Source organism: Homo sapiens, chromosome 3, assembly GCF_000001405.40.
Source record: "Homo sapiens chromosome 3, GRCh38.p14 Primary Assembly".
NCBI classification, from domain to species: domain Eukaryota; kingdom Metazoa; phylum Chordata; class Mammalia; order Primates; family Hominidae; genus Homo; species Homo sapiens.
This window is the reverse complement of record NC_000003.12, coordinates 112,881,753-112,905,540: the sequence shown is the minus strand read 5'-3', so window position 1 is coordinate 112,905,540 and position 23,788 is coordinate 112,881,753. Positions and strand designations below refer to the sequence as shown.

The 23,788-nt window shown below is 36.8% G+C and overlaps 1 pseudogene, besides 3 other annotated features; it reads left to right on the top strand.

Annotated features, from left to right (window-relative positions):
* Positions 8,079–8,910, top strand: CD200R1P1 (CD200R1 pseudogene 1; annotated as a pseudogene).
* Positions 10,348–11,547: an enhancer, noted in NCBI's record as "MED14-independent group 3 enhancer chr3:112612841-112614040 (GRCh37/hg19 assembly coordinates)". NCBI's record gives its function as "activates an origin of replication core promoter dependent on BRD2, BRD4, P300/CBP and CDK7 cofactors, and independent of MED14, by STARR-seq in HCT116 cells {active_cell/tissue: HCT116}" and the evidence as "EXISTENCE:reporter gene assay evidence [ECO:0000049][PMID:35650434]".
* Positions 19,773–20,363: an enhancer, noted in NCBI's record as "H3K27ac-H3K4me1 hESC enhancer chr3:112604025-112604615 (GRCh37/hg19 assembly coordinates)". NCBI's record gives its function as "activates a minimal SCP1, AML or CMV promoter by ChIP-STARR-seq in primed H9 embryonic stem cells {active_cell/tissue: H9 hESC(primed)}" and the evidence as "EXISTENCE:reporter gene assay evidence [ECO:0000049][PMID:30033119]".
* Positions 20,364–20,954: an enhancer, noted in NCBI's record as "H3K27ac-H3K4me1 hESC enhancer chr3:112603434-112604024 (GRCh37/hg19 assembly coordinates)". NCBI's record gives its function as "activates a minimal SCP1, AML or CMV promoter by ChIP-STARR-seq in primed H9 embryonic stem cells {active_cell/tissue: H9 hESC(primed)}" and the evidence as "EXISTENCE:reporter gene assay evidence [ECO:0000049][PMID:30033119]".

The following is a 23,788-nucleotide window of genomic DNA, read 5'->3' as shown; positions in this document are numbered from 1 at the left end:
ATACACACACACCATGGAATACTACTCAGCCATAAAAAGGAATGAATTAATGGCATTTGCAGTAATCTGGATGAAACTGGAGACTATTATCCTCAATGAAGTAACTCAGGATTGGAAAACAAACATCGTATATTCTCACTCATAAGTGGGAGCTAATTTATCAGGATGCAAAGGCATAAGAATGATACAATGGACTTTGGGGACTTGGGAGAAAGTGTGGGAAGGGGGGTGAGGAATAAAAGACTACAAATTGGGTTCAGTGTATACTGTTCAGGTGATGGGTGCACTGAAATCCCACAAGTCACCACCAAAGAACTTACTCATGTAAACAAATACCACCTGTTTTTTCAGAAACCTACGAAAATAAAAAATTTTAAAAAGAAAAAAATAAAATGCTCAATTTTATCCTTCTCTTTCTTGTTTTCGTGGCTAAGAAGTTTAGAATAGTCATTGGGTGGGGGCCTAGTGTTCTGCATTTCTAACAAGCTTCCACGTGATGCTGTTGCTGCTACTGATGATCTGCCAAGCACACTTGAAATAGCAAGACTTTAAGGAAGTCTTGTTATTTGAAAAGAGAGTCTTGTGACTTTGTGATAATTCTTAGAGCGAATTAAGAATTCGCTCCACTGAATTCGCTCCACTGCACCACTGAAAAAAGGACGTTGGCTTCATTCCCAGGATGCGAGGCTGGTTCAACATATGCAAATCAATAAATGTAATTCATCACCTAAACAGAACTAAAGACAAAAACCACATGATTATCTCAAAAGATGCAGAAAAGACCTTCAATAAAATTCAACATCTCTTTATGTCAAAAACTCTCAATAAACTAGGTATTGAAGGAACATACCTCAAAATAATAAGAGCCATTTACGACAAACCCATAGCCAATAACATACTGAATGGGCAAAAGGTGGAAGCGTTCCCCTTAACTGGCACAAGACAAGGGTGCCCTCTCTCACCACTCTTATTCAACATAATATTGGAAGTTCTGGCCAGAGCAATCAGGCAAGAGAGAAAAATAAAGCGTATTCAAATAGTAAGAGAGGAAGTCAAATTATCTTTGTTTGCAGATGACATGATCCTATATCTAGAAAACCCCATTGACTCAGCCCAAGAGCTTCTTAAACTTATAAGGAACTTCAGCAAAATTTAAATATACAAAATCAATGTGCAGGAGTCATAAACATTCCTACACACCAACAACAGACAAGCAGAGAATCAAATTATGAATGAACTCCCATTCACAATTGCCACAAAAATAATAAAATACCTAGGAATATAGCTAACAAGGAAGTGAAGGGCCTCTTCAAGGAGAACTGCTCAAGGAAATCAGAGAGGGCACAAGTAGATGGAAAAACAGTCCATGCTCATGGATAGAAAGAATCAACATTGTGAAAATGGCCATACTGCCCCAAAGCAATTTATACATTCAATGCCATTCCCATTAAACTACCATTGACATTCTTCAAGAATTAGAAAAGACTATTTTAAAATTCATATGGAACCTAAAAAAAGCTCATATAGCCAGGACAATCCTAAACAAAAAGAATAAAGCTGGTAGCATCATGCTACCCAACTTGAAACTATACTACAAAGCTACAGTAACCAAAACAACATGGTACTGGTACAAAAACAGGCACAGAGACCAATGGAACAAAATAGAGAACTCAGAGATAAAACCACACATCTACAACCATCTGATCTTCAACAAACCTGACAAAAACAAGCAATGGGGAAAGGATTCTGTATTTAGCAAATGGGGCTGGAAGTACTGGCTAACCATATACAAAAATTAACTCAAGATAGATTAAAGACTTAAATGTAACCCCCAAAACTATAAGAACCCTAGAAGAAAATCTAGGCAATACCATTCAGGACATAGGCATGGGCAAACTTTTGTGATGAAATTGCCCAAAGCAATTGCAACAAGAGCCAAAATTGACAAATGGGATATAATTATACTAAAGAGCTTCCGCACAGCAAAAGAAACTATCATCAGAGCAATCAGAAAACCTACAGAATGAGAGAAAAGTTTTGCGATCTATCCATTTGACAAAGTTCTAATATCCAGAATCTACAAAGAACTTGAGCAAACTTACAAGAAAAAGCAAACAATCTCGTTAAAAAGTGGGCAAAGGAAATGAACAGATGCTTCTCAAAGAAGGCATACATGTAGCCAACAAACATATGAAAAAAAGCTCAACATCACTGATCATTAAAAAAATGCTTATCAAAATTGCAATGAGATACCATCTCATGCCAGTCAGAATGGTGATTATTAAAAAGTCCAGAAACAAAAGATGCTGATGAGGTTGCAGAGAAATAGGAACACTTTTACACTGTTGGTGGGAGTGTAAATTAATTCAGCCATTGTGGAAGACAGTGTGGCTATTCCTCAAAGATTTAGAACTGAAATACCATCTGACCCAGCAATCCCCTTACTGGGTATATACTCAAAGGAATATAAATCATTCCATTATGAAGATACATACACACATATGTTCATTGCAGCGCTATTCACAATAGCAAAGACATGGAATCAACCCCAATGTCCATCAATGATAGACCACATAAAGAAAATGTGGTACATATATGCCATGGAATACCATGCAGCCATAAAAAGGAACGAGATTGGTGTAGATGCTGCTGATCTGGAACAATTCTGAGAACCACTGATTTAGTCCATCCCTTCAGGTAGAGTTTTCTAGATAAGAAAACAAAGGGAAGATGGTCGACTAGAAACAGCGATGATCTGAGCCTCCCATCAAAAAAAACAGTAATAAGCATGTGAATCCTTCACTGGCAACCAAGATATCCAGGTTCTCTCATCAGAACTGACTAGGAGGCTGGCGTGATCTACAGATAGGAAGGAAGAGCATGCTGTGTGGTTTGTCGGCCCACCCGAGAGCCACATGGGGGAGGGAAGCCCTCACCCCCGAGCCAAGGGAGGCAGTGAGTGAGCATGCTACCCAGCTGGGGAAACCGTGCTTTTTCCATGGAACTGTGCAACCCACAGATCAGAAGATTCCACTCGCGAACCCACGCCACTGGGTCCTACTTCCTTTTATGGTGGATGAGGATTCTACATTATCTTCTTTCCTTCCCTCATCCTTCTTTCCTTCCCTCATCCTTCATGTGCTATGACACAGAAATTTTTCATTACACAAGACAGTCTGTCTCCCCATTATTTTGAATAAATAAATATTTGAAATACATTTTACTTGATACTTATAAGTATTATTAAGTACTGAATCAATAAATAAATTCATACTTTCTTTTTTGAATAATCTTTTAGTTTTTGATTTTATAATTGCTTTATTTCTTTTTTCCTTAAAAACGAATGTACCTATTGTGAATTATCACTAAGCTCATTGACAAAACTAGAGAACCCCTTACTATTTTTTTCTTCAACTTTTAAGTTCTGGGGTACTTAAAAGTACCACATGTGCAGGATGTGCAGGTTTGTTACATAAGTAAACATGTGCCATGGTGGTTTGCTGCACAGATCAACACATCACCTAGGAATTAAACCCAGTATCCATTAGCTATTCTTCCTGATGCTCTCCCTATCCCACTACCACCCCCGACAGGCCCCAGTGCACTTTGTTCCCCACAATGTGTCCATGTGTTTTCATCATTTACATACAAGCTCCCACTTACAAGTAAAAATATGTGGTGCATGGTTTTCTGTACCTGGATTAGTTTGCTGAGGATAATGATTTCCAGCTCCATCCATGTCCCTGCAAATGACATGTTCTTGTTCCTTTTTATGGCTGCATAGTATCCCATGGTGTGTATGTACCACATTTTCTTTATCCAGTCTATCACTGATGGGCATTTGGGTTGATTCCATGTCTTTGCTGTTGTGAATAGTGCTGCAATGAACATACGCATGTATGTATCTTTATAATAGAATAATTTATATTTCTCTTGGTATATACCCAGTAATGGGATTGCTGCTTTGAATGGTAATTCTGTTTTTAGCTTTTTGATGAATCACCACACTGCTTTCTGTAATGATTGAACTAATTTACAATCTCATCAACAGTGTATAAGCATTCCCTTTTCTCTGCAACCTCACCAGATTCTGTTACTTTTTTATTTTTTAATAATAGCTATTCTGACTGGCATGAGATGGTATCTCATTGTGGTTTTGATTTGCTTTTCTCTAGTGATCAGTGATGTTGAGCTTTTTTTTTTCATGTATTTGTTGGCTGCATGTATATCTTTTGAGACATGTCTGTTCATGTCCCTTACCCACTTGTTAATGGAGAACCCCTTAGTATTATTTTTCACATGGTCAGATTTGTTATATAATCTATGAGTTCCATTTTCTTAAGACATCACTTCTTGCACTTTTTCATGCTTTTGTCTAATCTGTCCTGGTTGGTCACTATACTTGCTACACAGTATTGTCATGGACATTCTCTTTGCCTTTATCCTTTGCTTGATTCTGTGCTTGTTTAATCTGACTTTCATCTGCTTTCCAGACATTTGTTTATTTTAGTCTCTTTCTTGGATATGTAAGAGTTTTATTAACTCTTTGGTAATTCCTGGGTATGAATTTATTTTATTTTATTTTATTTTATATTTTACCATGAAACTGCCTTAAACCACATACTATGAAAATGCTTTAAGATGCAACAGCATGTGATGTGAAGACACGAAGAACAGAAAGTGCACACACAGTGAGAAATAGCTATCACAGAAAACACTGTGAGTGAATAAAGAGTTCAGATCCCTTCCACCCTTTACCCAGTAACAGAAGGCATATTAACACTCCTGTTGTTGTATGGATTCATTTTAAAGTGAGCACTAGTGGACTTATTAGAAGCTCTACTTGCTGATGATGAAGGTTTTCAACTAGTTAGCTTCAATATAGTGAAAAGGAGCTAAGTGATTTTTTATAATTGGGAATTTGTCATGTATCTAAAGGCCCGTTCTCTGGGAATGTTTAGAGTCTGCAGCAAATAACTCACCAGTCTCTTGCCTTGGAGAGATAAGCCTGATCACCAGTGTTCTGGGAAGGGAAAGAGGAGTGTGTGTATGTGTGTAAGTGTGCCGCTGTTGAGAACTGAGAGTTTCCTTTAGTACCTCTCTTCAGTGTAGCACTTTATTCCCACCCTGCATGATGTCTGAATCCTTGACTCTAGCATCTCTCCAGAAATGTTTCCTAGACCAATCTGCCAATAATTTTTTTCTGCTGGCTGGGGAAGCTGTGCTGCACAGAGTGGAGCGGGAGACTTGGCAAACTATCTGTTTTCAAGACAGACTTTCAAGGAAGCTCCCAACTTTTACGCCTACACTTCAGCCCTCCACATACTCCTTTTTCTATGGATACTTCCCACTCTAGAGTCTTCCTGGAGTTTTGTGGGTACTAAGATTTTTACTTATTCTAGTTTATAAATCATTTGCCATTCTACAGTTCATTTTTCACCCCAAAGAAGTTGAAAAGTCTTTCATCTGTTCTCGTCTTCATCTCTATTCTCTTTATCTTTGCAGGCTTATACTTTAAAACATTGCTTTACTAACATTTTAGTAAGTTTTAAGAAAGAAGAGAAAATCTCATATTTTGAAACCACCGTTTCCAACAGATTTTTCAATATCCATTCTTAAAGTGATATTGTCTTTTGAAAAAAAGAGTTAAGCAGTATTTACTAAAAATAATAATTGTGCTTGATTATGTATGAAATCTCACCATCTGGTATTAAAATATGTCTTATTTATAGCATCTAGAACTGAGTGGATCTTCTCATCCAAATTCCCATTAGTGCAGGGATCTCCTCTGTGTCTTCCTTGCACAGTGAACCTTCAGCCTCTGCCAGTACAGGTCCAGTGCAAGAGAGCTCATTAGTTTGACAGGGAGAGTTTTGAAAAAAATTTTTTTAAAGAAAAAACACAAATTTTTATTTTTCAAGCAAACATATGGAGAAATCCAATATTTAAAAACATCAACTGTGGGAGGATAGTGTAAGGACCAGATGCTAGTCTGCTCAGTCTCTATAGTACCTCCTTCTGCTTCCCCTGAGCCATACGTATGCAAGACCAGGAGCACATTTGTAAACTGTTTCCCCTTACAGCTGGAAATTACTTTGCTGATTTGCACAGTTATCAGATAGAGCTTTATATTGCTCCAGCAGCTAATAAATAAGGATGCTGCTATGCATTCATTTTAGTTTCAGTGCCTTGGAAGAAAGGTTATTTTGGAATTAGGATTACTTTTCCAACAACTTTCCTTATAATTACTCATATACTTGTGAGTGTTGGAGGTCAGAAACACTCTGCTGTAATAGAGAGATCTAAGTTTCACATCTCTTGTATAGGAATTCACCGCTCATGAATGCTTAAAGCAATGAAATCTTGAAGTAATGTAATGTCTTGCTGAAAACTCTCAAGTCTGGATAAAGCTTTAGAGTTTCTGGATAAAGCAATTTTATTTTAAGAATTCTCAAACTATTAATGGGTCAGAATTGTTTAAAGTAAAATTATAGAAATGAATTTTATGTATATACATATATATATATAAAACTTTTAATTTTTAATAGATTTTATGTTTTAAAGCAGTTTTAGGTTCATGGCAAAATTAAGTGCAAAGCACAGAAAGTTTCCACATAATCCCTGCCTGTACCCAAGTACAACCTCTCCCACTTGCGTATCCTGCAACACAGTGTTAAATTAGTTACTATTGATGAACCTTCATTGACACATCATCGTCAGCCAAAGGCCATAATTTACTTCAGGATTCACTCTGGTGTTAGACATTCTATGAGTTTTCACACGTGTATAATGACATGCATGTGCCATGATAGTATCCCACAGAATAGAATCACTGCCCTAAAAATCCTCTATGCTCTATTCATCCTTCCCTCCCTCTTTCTCAGTTGGCAACCACTGATCTTTTTACTGTCTCCTTAGTTTTGCCTTTTTCATAACATCATATGTTGGCATCACACAGTATGTAGCCTCTTCAGATTGGCTTCTTTCACTTAGTAGTATGCATTTAAGTTTCCTTCATGTCCTTTCACAGCTTGATAGTTCAGACATTTTATTTTAGCACCAAATAATATTTCATTGTTGGAATACACCACATTTGAAACATATATTTTTGTTTATAATTACAGGTACCAAAACATCAGTAAAACTATGTATTCACTCTATTATTTTTATGAGTTTTATTTTGATCATTGTGGGATTGCTTTGGGTTTTGAAAATCAGTGGCTGCAGGTATTGATTGATGAATGTTTTTTCTTCTTTAGCTTTATTGCACTAGAAAAGGGCCAGAAATATGGAATTGACTGACCAATTAGAATTCTAACATCAAATCTCTCATAATCACAGAATATCCTGAAGATGTTGGATTTGAACTACCTTGACAGATGTGAGTGATTTTCCTAGGTTGCTTTGGCATGCAAGCATGGCGAATTAGGCCATTTAGGGCAGGATCTTGGGAGAGATAGTGCATGCTGATTTTTTAATTTGGATAGATAATTACAATTCTTTTCTTGTACCAAAGAGGAGGTGTTACATATGTTCAATTGCATCAAGCTCCTATTGCATAATTTCACTTCTTTTTTCAAAATCTAGACTTTTCTTCTATGAGTGTAGTAGCTACAAGCAGTATCCTTCACTCATTTCTGGTAGTTTCTTTCTGATTTATTATGGCTTCTATCAAAATGAACCACAATTGTCAATAGTACACTTCTTTCAATTTTCAATCTAAATAATATTACCTCCACTTACTCCAGCTTTTTTTTTTTCCTCTCTCTTTTTTGAGACGGAGTCTCGCTCTGTCACCCAGGCTGGAGTGCAGTGGTGTCATCTCAGGTCACTGCAACCTACACCTCTTGGGTTCAAGCAATTCGCCTGCCTCAGCCTCCCGAGTGGCTGGGACTACAGGCACATGCCACCATGCCCGGCTAATTTTTTGTATTTTAGTAAGACTGGGTTTCACCGTGTTGCCCAGGCTGGTCACAAACTCCTGAGCTAAGGCAATCTGCCCGCCTTGGCCTCCCAGAGTGCTGGCATTACAGGCATGAGCCACAGCACCCAGCAACTCCAGCTTATTTTATTTTTATAGAAAATATAAATTGAATAAAACAGAAGCTACTCTAGTTGTTGAGGAGGTAAGATAAGATTAAAAAGAATATTTACAAACTTTTAAGTCAATAGTGTGAAAATATAGTAACATAATTTGTAATGTGTAGCAATATTAGTGTTTTAGTTGAAAAACAAACAGTTCTGATTTACAATGCAAATAGATGCAATTATTTTGTTAATTACCTATCAAGTACTATGTATAGACCACCCAGATCCACATTTTCATTTCATGAACCATGTCCTAATACACGTGATGTTTATCTCTTTTGAACTGTAATCTTTGGAGAAACTGAATTGGCATTTCCATTTACAGGAAAGCATCTCTGAACCTTGACTTCTATTTTTCAATACCATCATCGTTTTCCTCTTACCCTAGCTTAAAACATATCCTGCCCTGGAATCTCTTATGCCAGTAGCTTACTATGTCTTTGGCTCTCTCCTTTGGAATACTTCTCATACCACTTCATTCATCTCTATTCCTACTTTCATGCAACCATCATCTCTCACAGAGACTTAAGTAATTAACAAATATTAGAACAAAGCCTTGCTCTTATATTCACGTGAGCCCAGAAACACAAATATAAGCACTCTTGGTTGATACCAAAAGCTGTGGACACCTATTATAAAAAACAGGTAGTTTCCATAATGATTTCTGCCCTTTTTGAACTGATTTTGACTTTGATTTTTTTTCTTAGGATGAAATGCAACCCTACACCAGCTACACAGAGAAGAACAGTACACTATGATACTAGAAACAAGGTGAAGATGTCTCAGGCGTTATAAAGTGAAGTTGATAGCACAGACCTCCATATTGTATAAGTTATTGTAATCTAACACCAGGAGAAATGAATCAGGATACATTACAATTATTACTTTGATTTTCTTACATTTATAGAATGAAAGACTCATATTGAATTTAGTTTTTTAAAGGTGCTTAGAAGCCAAAAACATCCTAATGGATTTTCATTCAGATTCTTGCATAATTGAAATTTTGGATTCTTAGCCACTACCAGCTAGTTCTCTGAAGAACTGATATTATTAAAACAAAGAAAATACATGCTCATGATCAAGTACTTAAATTGTGCAGTACAATATATAAGGTAAAGAATTTCCTCAAGAAATAACTCTGCAGAAGGAACAATCAACAGTTTCTTATGTTTCTTTACAGAAAAATTATATTTATATTGACATGTCTATATGCCTATGGTATATGTGTGCATTTATATGTCTATCTATCTGTCTATCTATCTACCTATCTATCCATGATGTATATGCCATGGTACCAATGGGAGCATCCTGTAATGCTGTTCAGTCCTTATAAAAAGCTAATAATATAATAGACATTTTCATCTTATGATAAGATATTAAAAATATATATATTTCATACCTAATTTTATACCTAATAACATAATAGATCTTTTTGTATCAACACAGCAGTGCTACATCATTCTTTTTAGTGGCTACTTAAAATTCTATTGTATGTTTGTGTCATAATTTAATTAACACAACCCTAGTGATGGACATTTACAGTAAGTTTTGTTTGTGGTATAAAAAATACCACATAGAATGTTTCTTGTGGACATGTCTCTTTGTATTTGTTTAAGTATATTTTTAGGATAATTTTCTTGAGAGGAATTGCCAGGTTTGATAATATTATGACATTATCATGATGTCTATGATAATATCACAGATACTATCATATCTATGATAATAAAGGCACAAAAATACATTTGTGTATTATCTTAGATATGTCAAATTGTGTCAGTTTACATTCCCTCCAGCATTGCTTGAATGTGCCTTTCTCTGTACACTTATTTTAATATTTGTGCAATTCCCACTTCCATAGTTCCAGTTTTTCCTTTTTAATTAACCAGTTAGCTAGTATGACAGAAGATTAAAATAAAAATTATATTATTTGGGAGCAAGATGGCCCAATAGAAGCCTTTACTAATCATCCTCTCTGCAGGAACACCAAATGGAACAAATATTCACACAAAAAAGCATCTTCATAAGAATCAAAAATCAAATGAGTGATCACAGTACCTGGTTTTAACTTCATACCACTCAAAGAGGCACTCAAGAAAAAAGGATCTAGTTTCATTCTTCTACATATAGACATCCAGTTTTCCCAGCACCATTTATTTTGAAGAGACAATCCTTTCCTCATTGCGAGTTCTTGGCAACTTCGTAGAAAATGAGTTCACTGCAGATGTATGGTTTTGTTTCTGGGTCTCTATTTGGTTCCATTGGTTTATGTGTCTGTTTTTATGCTAGTACCACTGCACTATACACCAACAGTGAACAACTGAAAAAGAAATCAACAAACTGAAAAAAGAAATAACAGAAACTGTTATTCCATATACAATCACTATAGATAAAATTTGTAGGAATTAATTTATCCAAAGAAGTGAAAGGTCTCTATGATGAAAATTTTAAAACACTGATGAAAGAAATGGAACGAGAATACAAAAAAATGAAAAGCTATTCCGTGTTCATAGATTAGAATAATTAATATTATTAAAATGTTCATACTATCTAAAGCAATCTACAGATTCAAAGCAATCCGTATCAAAATACCAATGACAGTCTTCACAGACGTAGAAAAAAAGATCCTGAAATTTATATGGAACCATGAAAGACTCAGAATAGCCAAAGCTAACCTGAGCAAAAAGAACAAAACTGGAAGAATCACATTACCAGACTTCAAATTATACTATTGAGCTTGAGGTGAATGCTGCCAGACCTGGAACTCTCCCTTCAGGAGCGGATGGTTTCCCTTCTGGCCTAGGGCAGGTCTAGAAATGCTGTCCAAGTGCCAAGGCCAGGAAATGGGGACCCCAAGAGTCTGCTTGGTACTCTAACCTACTTCGGCCAAGCTGGTACCTAAACTGCAAAACAAAATCCCCGTCACTCTTCCTCTCCTTTTCTCAAGCAGAAGGAGTCTCTCCTTGTAGCCACCACAGCTGGGAATGTGCTGAGTCACACCTGAAGCCAGTGCTTCTCAGTCTCACCCAGGCCCCACAGCAAGTACTGCCTGGCTACCATCGTGAATTATTCAGGGCCCAAGAGCTGTTTAGTCAGCAGGCGATGAATCTTGCTAGGACTGGGTCCTTTTCTTCAAGGCAGCAGTATAATTATCTTGAGATACATTCACACATGAATACTTCATTCGATTTATTGCTAAATAGTATTTAATTGTATAGATAAACCAGTTTGTTTATTCGTTCACCTGTTAATGGACATTTGAGTTGTGTCCAGTTTGATTTTATTAGGAAGAAAAAGATGCTATACACATTCTTGTGTAAGTGTTTTTTGACATATGCTTCTGTCAATCCTGATGAGCGAATTGGCTGGATCATACGGTAAGTGGATGTTTAACTTTTAAAGAAATTGCCTAACTGTTTTTCTCTGTGGTTGTACAATTTTACATTCTCCCCACCAGTTTATGAGACTTCTAGCTCTTTCATATTCTTACCAACCCTTGATATAGTCAGTGTTTTTAATTTTAGACATTTTGATAAACATATGTTACTATCTCATTGTGGTTTTAATGTGTATGTCCCAAAAGACTAATGATGTGGACCATCTTGCCATACAAATTAAAATTTAACTGTCAATTAAAGAATTGTTTAGTTTATTTCTTAATTGACTTTTGAGAATTCTTCATATATTCTGAATACAAGTTCCTTTCATTCAAGATAGAGTGTCCTTTGAAGAAGAGATGTTTTTGATTTTGATAAAGAGCAATTTATCCTTTTGTTTTCCTTTTTTTGGACTGTGCTTTTAGTATAACATCTGAGAAATGTTTCCCTAACCCAAGATCACGAATGTAATCTTATGTTTTTATTATAGAAGTTTTATAGTTTTAGGTTATACACTTTGGTCTACGATCCATTTTGAAGTAATCTTTATACATGGTATGAAATATGGATTTAACGGTTTTTTGCATACAAGTATCAATATGGATATCCCAACACCACTAAATTACCTTTTAGTCTTTGTTGAAAATTACATGTACCTCTATTTATAGGTCTATTTGTGGACTTTCTGCTTTGTCTTATTGAACAATTTGTTTGTTTTTATGCCAATGTCACACCATTTTGTAGCTTTATATGTCTTAAAATTAGATAGTGTTAACCCTTCAACTTTATACTTTTTCAAAATAGTTTAGGCTATACTGGCTTTGCATTTCCACATGAATCCTAGAATCAGTTTGTCAATGTCTGCAAGAATGTCTGCTTGTATTTTGACTGAAGTGTCTTGAAGCATATATCAATTTGAGGGGAATTGATATCTTAGCGATATTGAGTTTTCTAATCCATGAGCATAGTAGATCTCCCATTTACTTAGATCTTTAATTTCTCTCTGTAATATTATTTTATACCTTTTTATGTACAGCTCTTGCACATCTTTTGTCAGATTTATCCGTAAATATTATATTTCATATTCTTTGATGTTATTGTACATTGTATCATTTTGTTTGTTTTTTGAGACAGTCTCACTCTATCACCGAGGCTGGAGTGCAGCAGCACGATATCGGCTCACTGCAACCTCTGCCTCCCGGGTTCAAGTGATTCTCATGCCTCAGCCTCCCAAATAGCTGGGATTACAGGCTCCCGCCACCATGCCTGGCAAATTTTTGTATTTTTTGTAGAGATGGGGTTTCACCATGTTGGCCTGGCTGGCCTCGAACCCTTGACCACAAGTGATCCTCCTACCTCAGCCTCTCAAAGTGCTAGGATTACAGGCATGAGCCACTGTGTCTGGTCTCATTTCTTAAAATTTCAATTTCTATTTTTTCCTTGACATTATATAAAACTACAATTGCATTTTACATATTGACCTTATATCCTGCAACTTTGTTGAACGGATTAACTGATTCTAATAATTTTTTTTGAAGACTCTCTCAGATTCTCTACATAGACGATCACAACCTCTGTGAATGAAGACAGTTTTAGTTTTTCCTTTCCAATTTGGATGACTGTTATTTGTTTTACTTACTTATTGCATTGGCTAAAACCTCTAGTATATGGGTGATTAGAACTAGCGAAAATGGACATCCTTGTCTTACTCCTGGTCTTAGGAGGAAAACATTCAGACTTTCACCATTAATATGATGTTAGCTGTTTTTTGTTGGTTTGTTTGTAGGTGCCCTTCATTGGGTTGCTGAGGTCTCTTTTTAGTCTAAATTTTTTAGGGTTTTTAACAGGAATGGATGTTAGATTTTGTCAAAGCTCGTTCTGTATCTACTGAGATAATCTTTTTATTGTTAGTTTTTAAATATGATTACATTTTAATGTTCTCTTTTTTCTGTTTCTTTTTTTGGATAGTTTCTACTTTATCAAGTTCTATATATGTTTTCTTCTGAAATGTATAATCTGATGTTAATTTCATTTAGTGCATTTTTCACCTCATTTTCTGCAGGTTTTCATCTTTAGAAATTTGATTTGGGTCTTATTTTCCGTCTTCCATGTCTTGACTATATTACAATGATTGTTCAAGGTTCTTGCCTGCTAATTCTTGCATTTGTGTCAATTCTAGGTTTGTTTTGATTGATTGGTTTTCCCCTGCATTATGGATTTTATTTTCTGGTTTCTTTGATTGTTTAGTAATTACAAATTTTATTGCATAAACATATGTAACATAAAATTGATCATTTTAACAAATTTTGAGCATACAGTTAGTGGCATTAAGTACATCTTCATTGTTTTGTAACCATTACCATCTATCTCAAGAATTTTTTTATCTTCTTGAACTGAAACTCTGTACCCATTAAACAATAACATCTCTGTTTTATCAGAGAAGTCCTTGTAGCATAATGACTCAGAGTCACCCCAAATTGTCATGAAGTCTGGATTATTTCATTTAGCATAATATCCCCTACGTTCATCCACATTTTCTCAAATGGCAGGATTTTCTTCTTTTCAAAGCTGAATAATATTTCACACACCACATTCATTTTCTTTATCTCTTTATCCATTCATTCATCAAGAGATATATAGGTTGTTTCTATAGCTTCTCTATTTTGAATAATGCTGCAGTGCACATAGGAGTGCAGACGTTTCTTTGAGTCACTGATTTCATTTTTTTTGGTTATATAACCAGAAGTGGCATAGCTGAATCATATGGTGATAATTCAGACTCAGAGAGGCAAATACGACATGATCTCATTTATATGTGGAATCTAAAATAGTCATTCTCATTGAAGCAGAATAGAATGGTGGTTGCCAGGGACTGCAGGGAGAGGGAAATGGGAAGATCTTGGTTAAATGGTACAAAGTTTCAGTTAGACAGGATGAATACATTTTGAGATCTAATGTACAATATGGTGACTATAGCTAACAATACTATATTTTATACTTGAAATTTGTTAAAAGAGTAGATTGTAAGGGTTCTCACCAGAAATTAAAAATAAAGGTAACTATGTGATGTAATAGATATGTTAATTAGCTTGATTGTGGTTTTCATTTCACAATGTATATCAAAACATCAAGTTGTACACCTTACATATATACAATTTTTATTTGTCAACTATACTCAATAAAGCTGGAAAAAAGTGAAAAAATTCCTATAAAGAAGGTGTCTGGTTTCAAGAGTTTTATTTTTTGCTCTTCGATTATTTTAAATAGCAGTTCCTTTAAGGGCAGACCAGAAGAAGTAAAATGAAATTGGTAATCAATGAATATTGAATCACAAAATTCTAGAGTGGGAAAGGGCATCAAAAGATGTCTAATTCAGCCTCTTACATAATTGTCTCCATCCAAATTCCATGAATATCATCCCTATTTGGGTCACAAGTATATGTGGTGTAATATTTAAAAAATTATCATGAAAACTCATTCAAACCCACAAGTTTTGATCATCTCTTCCAGGTGGGGCTGAGCTTGCTTGAGCTGCCAGTTTTCTCTAAAAACATATGTAAACAGATTATTTCTTAATGATGCCACCCTATGCAAAATTACATTACTATTTACAAAGATCTGATCCAAACATGGAGATATGCTAGTAGATTAATAAAAAAAAAATAGCAGATACAAAATATTATATATTAAGTAATTAAAAATGAATAAAAACACAGAAAAAATTAGAATTTGGCAAAATTATAGCACCTTTGTTATAAGTGGGGTGGGGTGCAATAATTGGAATTGGGGTGATTTTTGCAGGAAGTCTTCAAAGTTACTTTTATTTTCATAGTAATACTAAGATGTGATATGCTTTTTGCATTTACATTCTCTCATGAGTGCACAATGGAGTTTTCTAGATGCTACATTGCAGATGTTTATATTACTGCTTTGATGGTTTGTGGAATGAGTACTTGTGTAGTTCTGTGTTTTCTAGATTTTTCTAAAGTACATTCTTTGGAATCGTCAATACATTTGAACAGTATAAAAGATCCTTAGACCAAAAAAATCTGAGAATTGCTGTTCTAGCTGATAAGAAACACATGTTAGGGATCGGGATCATCATGGTGGATGGGAGGCAAGACTAGATTGCAGCACCCGACAGAGCAGTATGCAGAGGCTCGCATTGTGAATTTCAGCTCCAGATCAACTGCAAGAACAAACCAGCAATAAATACCAAGAGGACCCATAGACACGCTGAAGGAAGCAGACTGCTTCTGTAGGACTCCGGAGACAAGCCAAATACTGTGAGTGCCCCAACTGTGGAAGTGGGAGAGACCCTCCTCTCCCAAACACACACCCCCACTGGAGAAACTGAAGGTCTGTTTCCTGGAGAAGTTTCCGACTTTACCTGGAGCTGAGTCAATTTAGAGAGCCAAGTGAAACACAGGGGTAGAGAAGCAATGAAAAAGGCCCTGGAAGCTCACTGGGTCCCCCAGCAGCACATTCCTGCCTAGCACCACAGGGATCCACTGGGAGGGCGGCCAGAGGAGCAGGGGGTAAAACTCCACAGGGAGAAGGAAATCTCTAGCTGAACTTTGTAATAATTTGAATGGAGTGAGAAGCCTCCTGGCCAGAACTCGGGGGAGGGCACTAATCTGGTGTGCAGACTCCATAAAAAGGAATGAATTAACAGCATTTGCAGTGACCTGAGTGAGATTGAAGACTATTATTCTAAGTGAAGTAACTCAGGAATGGAAAACCAAACTTCAGATGTTCTCACTGATTTGTGGGAGCTAAGCTATGAGGATGCAAAGGCATGAGAATGATACAATGGACTTTGGGAACTTGGGCGGGAAGAGTAGGAGGTGGGAGAGGGATAAAAGACTACAAATATGGTGCAGTGTAAACTGTTCGGGTAATGGGTGCACCAAAATCTCAAAAATCACCACTAAGGAACTTACTCATGTAACCAAAAACCACCTGTACCCCACTAACGTAATGGAAAAAAAAAAGAAAAACATGTTAGGATTACTAAGGATTGAATTAGTTTTCACTTTGGGAAACATTAAACATTTTATAAAGTTACAATATGTTGTTATATGTGAAAAGATTAATAAAAATTTATAAATTGTGTCTTTGGTTTACCCTAATTGGCTATAAAGTTCCCGCCTGTGGGTCTCTGCTTTTAGAGTTATAAAAAGGTGCATGCAAATTCTGGTGGTGAAGCCTCAGCCTCATTCTTTGGCTGCAGAGTATGCTTTCTTTTGTTCTGTTTTTGTCTTATTTTATAAAGTAATGTGGGGACTTAAAAAAAAATTAATACAACAAAACGTTTGGTTTTTGTTGGTTATTAACTCACACACCTTCCAACCCTTCACTATCTGCCTTTTGGACAAACACCATGTACATAATCCACCCAGTCTCTGGTATTTTGTTATGGCAGCTGCAAAAGACTAGTACAAGATGAAGTTTTGTCTAACCTACTTTAAATATGTGTCATATTTGATGGATATACTTTACTAATTTTGGCTTAAGTAAACAATTGAAACAATTAAATTATTCCACTTATCCCACTCCTGTGCTCTCAATTTTGCATGCTTAGGATTCTTTTAGGATTTGTCAAGACTCTTACTGGTTTCCAAGCTATCTTTCTAAGATGATTATGCCAAATGTTATACATCAGAATTAACATTTACTGTGAAAATATTTATTAGTGATCCCTTAGACATATATTTTTCTTCTAAGTTTTTGAAAAAACTATGACAATTTATTTTGATAAAAATGAAACATATTTATTTTAAGAAGTTCAGGCAATACAGGATAACATAAATGGTTAAAATTCCACCACCCAGAAACAACCATTGTTAGGATTAGCTAAAAACTCTTCTATGAATATATATAAAAATAAGTAAAGATAGAAGGCACTTCTGGTGTCTCTACTAAAAATACAAAAAAAAATTAGCCAGTCGTAGTGGCGGGCACCTGTAGTCCCAGCTACTCGGGAGGCTGAGGCAGGAAAATGGTGTGAACCCGGGAGGCGGAGCTTGCAATGAGCTGAGATCGTGCCACTGCACTCCAGCCTGGGTGACAAAGCGAGACTCCATCTCAAAAAAAAAAAAAAAAAAAAAAGATAGAAGACATTTCACAAAAATGCTCTTATATAAACATGTTACTTTAAATAAAAATATTACATTATTGTTACTTGATTTAAATTAGAGAAAGAAACTGAAACAATTACTGAACTTGAGATAAAAATGTCTTCACCATATACAACACCAAGAGTGAAATCAAATGTAAATTATAGACTTTGAATGACAATCATGTGTCAGTGTAGGTTCATTGATTATAGCAAATGTACCATGCTGGTGGAGAACATTGATGGTGGGGGAGGCTGTGCATGTGTGTGGGGAGGGGGTATATGAGAATGCTTTCTACTTTCTACTCTATTTTGCTGTGAACCTAAAGCTTATCTAAAAAGAAAAGACTGTACAGTTGACACTTGAACAACGCAGGTTTGAATAGTGTCCCTTATATGTGAATTTTCTCCTGTCTCTGCCAGCCTTGAGACAGCGGGACCAATCTTTCCTTTTCTTCCTCCTCCTCAGCCTATTCAATGCAAAGACAACAAGAATGAAGAACTTCATGATGATCCACTTCCACTTAATGAATAGTGAATATATTTTCTTTCCCTTATTACTTTCTCAATAACATTTTCTTTTCTCTAGCTTACTTTAAGAATAAAACATATAATACAAATTCAAAATATATATTAATCAACTGTTTATGTTATCAGTAAGGCTTCTGGTTAATAGTGGTAGACTATTAGTAAAGTTTTGGAGGAATAGAAAGTTATACATACATTTTTAGCTGAGCAGGGTTTCAGTGCCCCTAACCACCACACGTTCAAGGGTCAACTGTCTATATTGAAAAATGAGCTTCTGTTCAGCTGCATTTTCTGGCTTTCCATAAAAATGTCAACTTAAAAAAACAAGCCAAAGAGGAAAAGAAAATCTGCATAAGTGTCTATTCCAATGGGTTTGGACTATTGCCCCCTACACATAGGAAAAAAAGATGTCCTTATCAGTTGAGATACTAACCTCTAAAAGAGTCTTCTAAGTAAAAAACAAAAAGATTGTGAGCACTATTAACAGAATAATGTAACTGTACATTTTAGATACAATATTTTCACTGTAACACAGTACATGTTGACTCTATGTCATGAAAGATAAGAGATCGTAATGATTTTATATTTCTCCAAACCTCCTTTCTTATCACTTTCTGATTTTAATTATATATTATTTTCACATCTTGAAAGTTTAAAGCATCTACATTCTGTTCTTTAGTAATAATTCCTTCACATGTTTAGTCTTAACTATATATTTAAATGTCCAATCATAGTTTCTTATTTTATCTCTTGGTTGATGGAATATCACTATCTAGTACTTTGTCATTTGTTTTACAACTAGAGAAATATAAGACGGACGATAACGTGTTAAAAAAAAAAGACAAGGGTTTATATCTGTGTTTTAATTATCTCTTGTCTTCTTTGCTACAGATCTACAGGTAAGATGAAATACAACCCATTATAGCTCACTCTAGTCCAGAATGTCTATTTCTCTCTGTGAATTGAATATGTAGTAGGATTTATCTGACAATATAAATACGAGTTATTTAGCAGGACAGGTTTTCATTCTGAGAGATAAAAAAAAAAAGGCCTCAGGAGCAAAGCAAAACAAATTCTAACTTATTATTAAAGTTATTTGGGAGAGGAGCCAAGATGGTTGAATAGATGCAGCCAGGAAGAGCTTCTCTTACTGACAGACAAAACCATCAAGAAGACCAGCACACTTTGAGCAGATCTCTGGAAGGAAGGCTTTGAGAGTGGATGGAGGGAGGATGCAGACCCTGGGCTAAGAAGAGAGGAAGCTGGGAACTTTACACAGGGTTGTTGAGCACTGGGACTCATTCCTGGGCCCAAGTGGTTCGTAAGGAAGGGGTGAGTTAAGTAGCTATGGAGTGGCCCACTCTCACCATGGACCTCCAGAATCCTAGATGCAGGACACCCCATGACCCTCATGAACATTTGAGCTGGCAGGAAGAGCTGCTTGGAGAATTGGCAGGGACTAGGACTCCAGTGCCGAGACCAGCTCAGTCGTGGAGACCCTAACCCAGTGGCACTAGAGGAATTAAAGACACACACACAGAAATATAGAGTGCAGAGTGGGAATCAAGGGGCTGACAGCCTTCAGAGCTGAGAGCCATGAACAGAGTTTTACCCACATATTTATTGACAGCAAGCCAGTGATAAGCATTGTTTCCATAGATTATAGATTAAAACGGGAAACAAACGGATGGACTCTGGCTAGTTATCCGCAGCAGGAACATGTCCTTAAGGCACAGATCACTCATCTATTGTTTGTGGTTCAGGAACACCTTAAGTGGTTTTCCGCCCTGGGTGGGCCAGGTGTTCCTTACCCTCTTTCCTGTAAACCAACAACCTTCAGCGTGGGCATCGTAGCTATCATGAGCATGTCACAGTGCTGCAGAGATTTTGTTTATGGCCAGTTTGGGGGCCTGTTTATGGCCAGATATGGGGGCCTGTTCCCAACACTCCAGCCTGTGTGAAGCCCAGAGGGTTTGGCATGGGAATGGCTGCAGTGGAACACAGCAAGGGACATCCATCCCTCAAAGCTTGCCATGTTCCCTTAGCTGGCTTTGGCTTTTGTTGATTGTTGGATCTAGACAGACCAGAACTATCTTGCCTGTGGGATGGGACCATTCAGATCTGAGTGCCTCGCTGTCTTCCATCTTCTCCCAGGATCCTTTCCTGCCTGCACCCACTGGCAGTGCATCCTCAGATGCCCAACTAGGGTGTTTCCCAGTGGCCACCTCCATAGCTCTTTCACTGGCAGACCCTGCCTAGCCATCAGAGAGTTTTTTGCAGAGGGCCACTGCCAGCACACACCTGCCTGCAGCCACCCCCCACCACTTTGCTGGTGCATGCATGCGTGGAGCTCATGTTGCCCCCAACCCGACCAGCCTCTGTGTGAGTGCAGACCTTGCTGCCCTGCTGCTGCCAGCATGTGCATGCAAGTGTGGACCCCACCACCCTGATTAAGTACTTTTGCCAGGACCCCACATAAGAGTGTTGCTGTCAATGGACTGAGAATACCTCAGTCCCTTTAGTGCACCAGGTGCTTAACCTCAAGGAGCCAGAGAGAAAAGTCATGGGCCTGAAGGGGATCCCCAGGGTTACAGCATGTAGCCCAAGAGTGCTAAGCTGACGTTTGGCCCCCTGAAATCATCCAGAAACAAAGCCAGTTGACTAAACACAACTTATGCCACAGCGAAACCCTCAAGGGCATCAAAGAATATAAAAGGAAAAAGACCCATCCAAAGAACAGCAACTTCAAAGATGAAAGAAACATCATGTCACACAGATGAGAAAAAGCCATTGCAAGGACTCCAATAACTCTAAAAGACAGGGTGTCTTCTTACCTACAAATGACTGCACTAGATTCCCAGCAATGGTTCTTAACCAGACTGAAAGAGCTGAAATGACTGACATAGAATTCAGAATCTGGATAGCAATGCAGATCACTGAGATTCAGGAGAAAGTTGAACCCAGTCTAAGGAATCTAAGGAATCCAGTAAAATTATTCAAGAACTGAAAGATGAAATAGCCATTTTAAGAAAGAACCAAACTGATCTGATAGTGCTGAAAAACTCACTACAAAAACTTCATAATACTATTGGACGTATTGCTAGCAGGATAGGCCAAGCTTAAGAAAGAATCTCTGAGCTGGAATACCAGTTCTTTGAATCAACTCAATCAGACAAAGTTAATGAAAAAAGAATTTTAAAAAATGAACCAAACTTCTGAGAAATATGGGACTATGTAAAGAGCCAAATCTATGACCCATTGGCATCCCTGAAAGACAGGGAAAGAGAACAAGCTTGAAAAACAAAGTTGAGGATATTGTCCATGAAATTTTTCCCAGCCTTGCTAGAGAGATCAATATTCAAACTTAGGAAATGCAGAGAAACCCTGTGAGATGCTATACAAGATTACCATCCCCAAGAACAAAAAGCCATCAGATTCTCAAAGGTCAATGTGAAAGAAAAAATATTAAAGGCAGCTATAGAGAAGAGGCAGATCACCTACAAATGGAACCATGTCAGGATAACAGCGGACGTTTCAGCATAAACCCTACAAGCCAGAAGAGGTTGAGGGCCTATGTTCAGCATGTTTACATAATAAATTCCAACCAATAATTTCACATCCAGCCAAACTAAGCTTCATGAGCAGAGGAGAAATAAAATCCTTTTCAGACAAGCAAATGTTAAGGGAAGTTATTACCACCTTCCTTAAAAGAGCTCCTTAATGGAGTGCTAAACATGGAAACAAAAGACCACTACTGACCACCACAAAAACACACATAAGTACATAGACCATTGACACCATAAAGCAATTACACAATCAAGTCTACATAACAACCAGCTAACAACACAATGGCAGGATGAAATCCTTAAATATCAATATTAATACTGAATGTAAAATGGGCTAAATGCCCCACTTAAAAGGCACAGAATGGCAAGTTGGATAAAGAAGAAAGACCTAACTCTATGCTGCCTTCAAGAGAGCCATCTCACATGCAATGACAGTTATAGTCTTAAAATAAAGGAATGGAGAAAAATCTATAAGGCATCAGAAAACAAAAAAGAATAGGAGTTGTTGTACTAATTTCAAACAAAAAAGAGTTTAAACCAACAATGATTAAAAAGGACAAAGAAGGGCACTACATAATGATTAAGGGTTCAATTAAACAAGAAGTCTTAACTATTCTAAATATATATGCACCCAACACTGGAGCACCCAGATTCATAAAACAAGTTCTTAGAGACCTACAAAGAGATGTAGATAACCACATAATAATAGTGGGATACTTCAACACCCCACTGACAATATTAGACAGATCATCAAAGCATAAAACTAACAAAGATATTTTGGAACTAAACTCAATGCTTGACCAAATGGACTTGAAAGACATCAACAGAGCACTTTAGCCAACAACAGAATATGCATTTTTCTCATTTTCATATGGCACATACACTAAAATTGACTGCATGCTCAGCCATAAAGAAATTCATAATAAATTTAAAAGCAATAAAATCATATCCACCACACTGTCAAAACATAGTGCACTAAAAATAGAAATCAATACCAAGAAGATCCTTCAAAACCATACAATTACATGGAAATCAAACAATCTGCTTCTGAATGACTTTTGGGTAAACAATGAAATTAAAGCAAAAAACAAGGAAGTATTTGAAACTAATAAAAACACAGATACAACATATCAGAATCTCTGGAACACAGCTAAATCAGTGTTAGGAGGAAAGTTTGTAGCACTAAATACCCACAACAAAGGTTATAACGATCTCAAATTAACAATCTAGGCTGGGTGCAGTGGCTCATACCCGTAATCCCAGCACTTTGGGAGGCCAAGGCGGGTGGATCATCTGAGATCAGGAATTCGAGACCAGTCTGGCCAACATGGTGAAACCTTGTCCTACCAAAAATACAAAAATTAGCTGCGTGTAGTGGTGGGTCCCTGTAGTCCCAGCTACTCAGGAGGCTGAGGCACAAGAACTGCTCGAACCTGGGAGGCAGAGGTTGCAGTGAGCCAAGATTGCACCACTGCACTCCAGCCTGGGTGACAGAATGAGACTCTGTCTCGAAAAAAAACAAAAAACAAAAAAAACACAATCTAACATTACAGCTAGAGGAGTTAAAAAAAACAAGAGCAAATCACCCACAAAACCAGCAGTAGAAAAGAAATAACCAAAATCAGATGTGAACAGAATGAAATTAGATGCAAAAATTCGTACAATGGATCAATGAAACCAGAAGTTTGTTTTTGGAAAGAAAAAATAAGATTGACAGACTGCTAGCCAGACTAATAAAGGAAAAGAGAGATGCAAATAAAGACAGTCAGAAATGACAAAGGGGACATTACCGTCAAACTCACGGAAATACCAAAAATCCCTGAGACTATTATGAACACCTCTATGCACACAAATTAGAATACCTAGAAAAGATGAATAAATTCCTGGAAAAATAAAACCTTCTAGGATTAGACTAGGAAGAAATCGAAACCCTGAACAGACCAATAGCAAGCACTGAAATTGAATCAGTATTAAGAAGCCTACTAACCAGAAAAAGCTCTGGACCAGAAGATTCACAGCTTATTTCTACCAGACATGTAAAGAAGAGCTGGTACCAATCCTATTGAAACTATTCCAAAAAATTGAGGAAAAGGGGCTGCTCCCTAACTCATTCT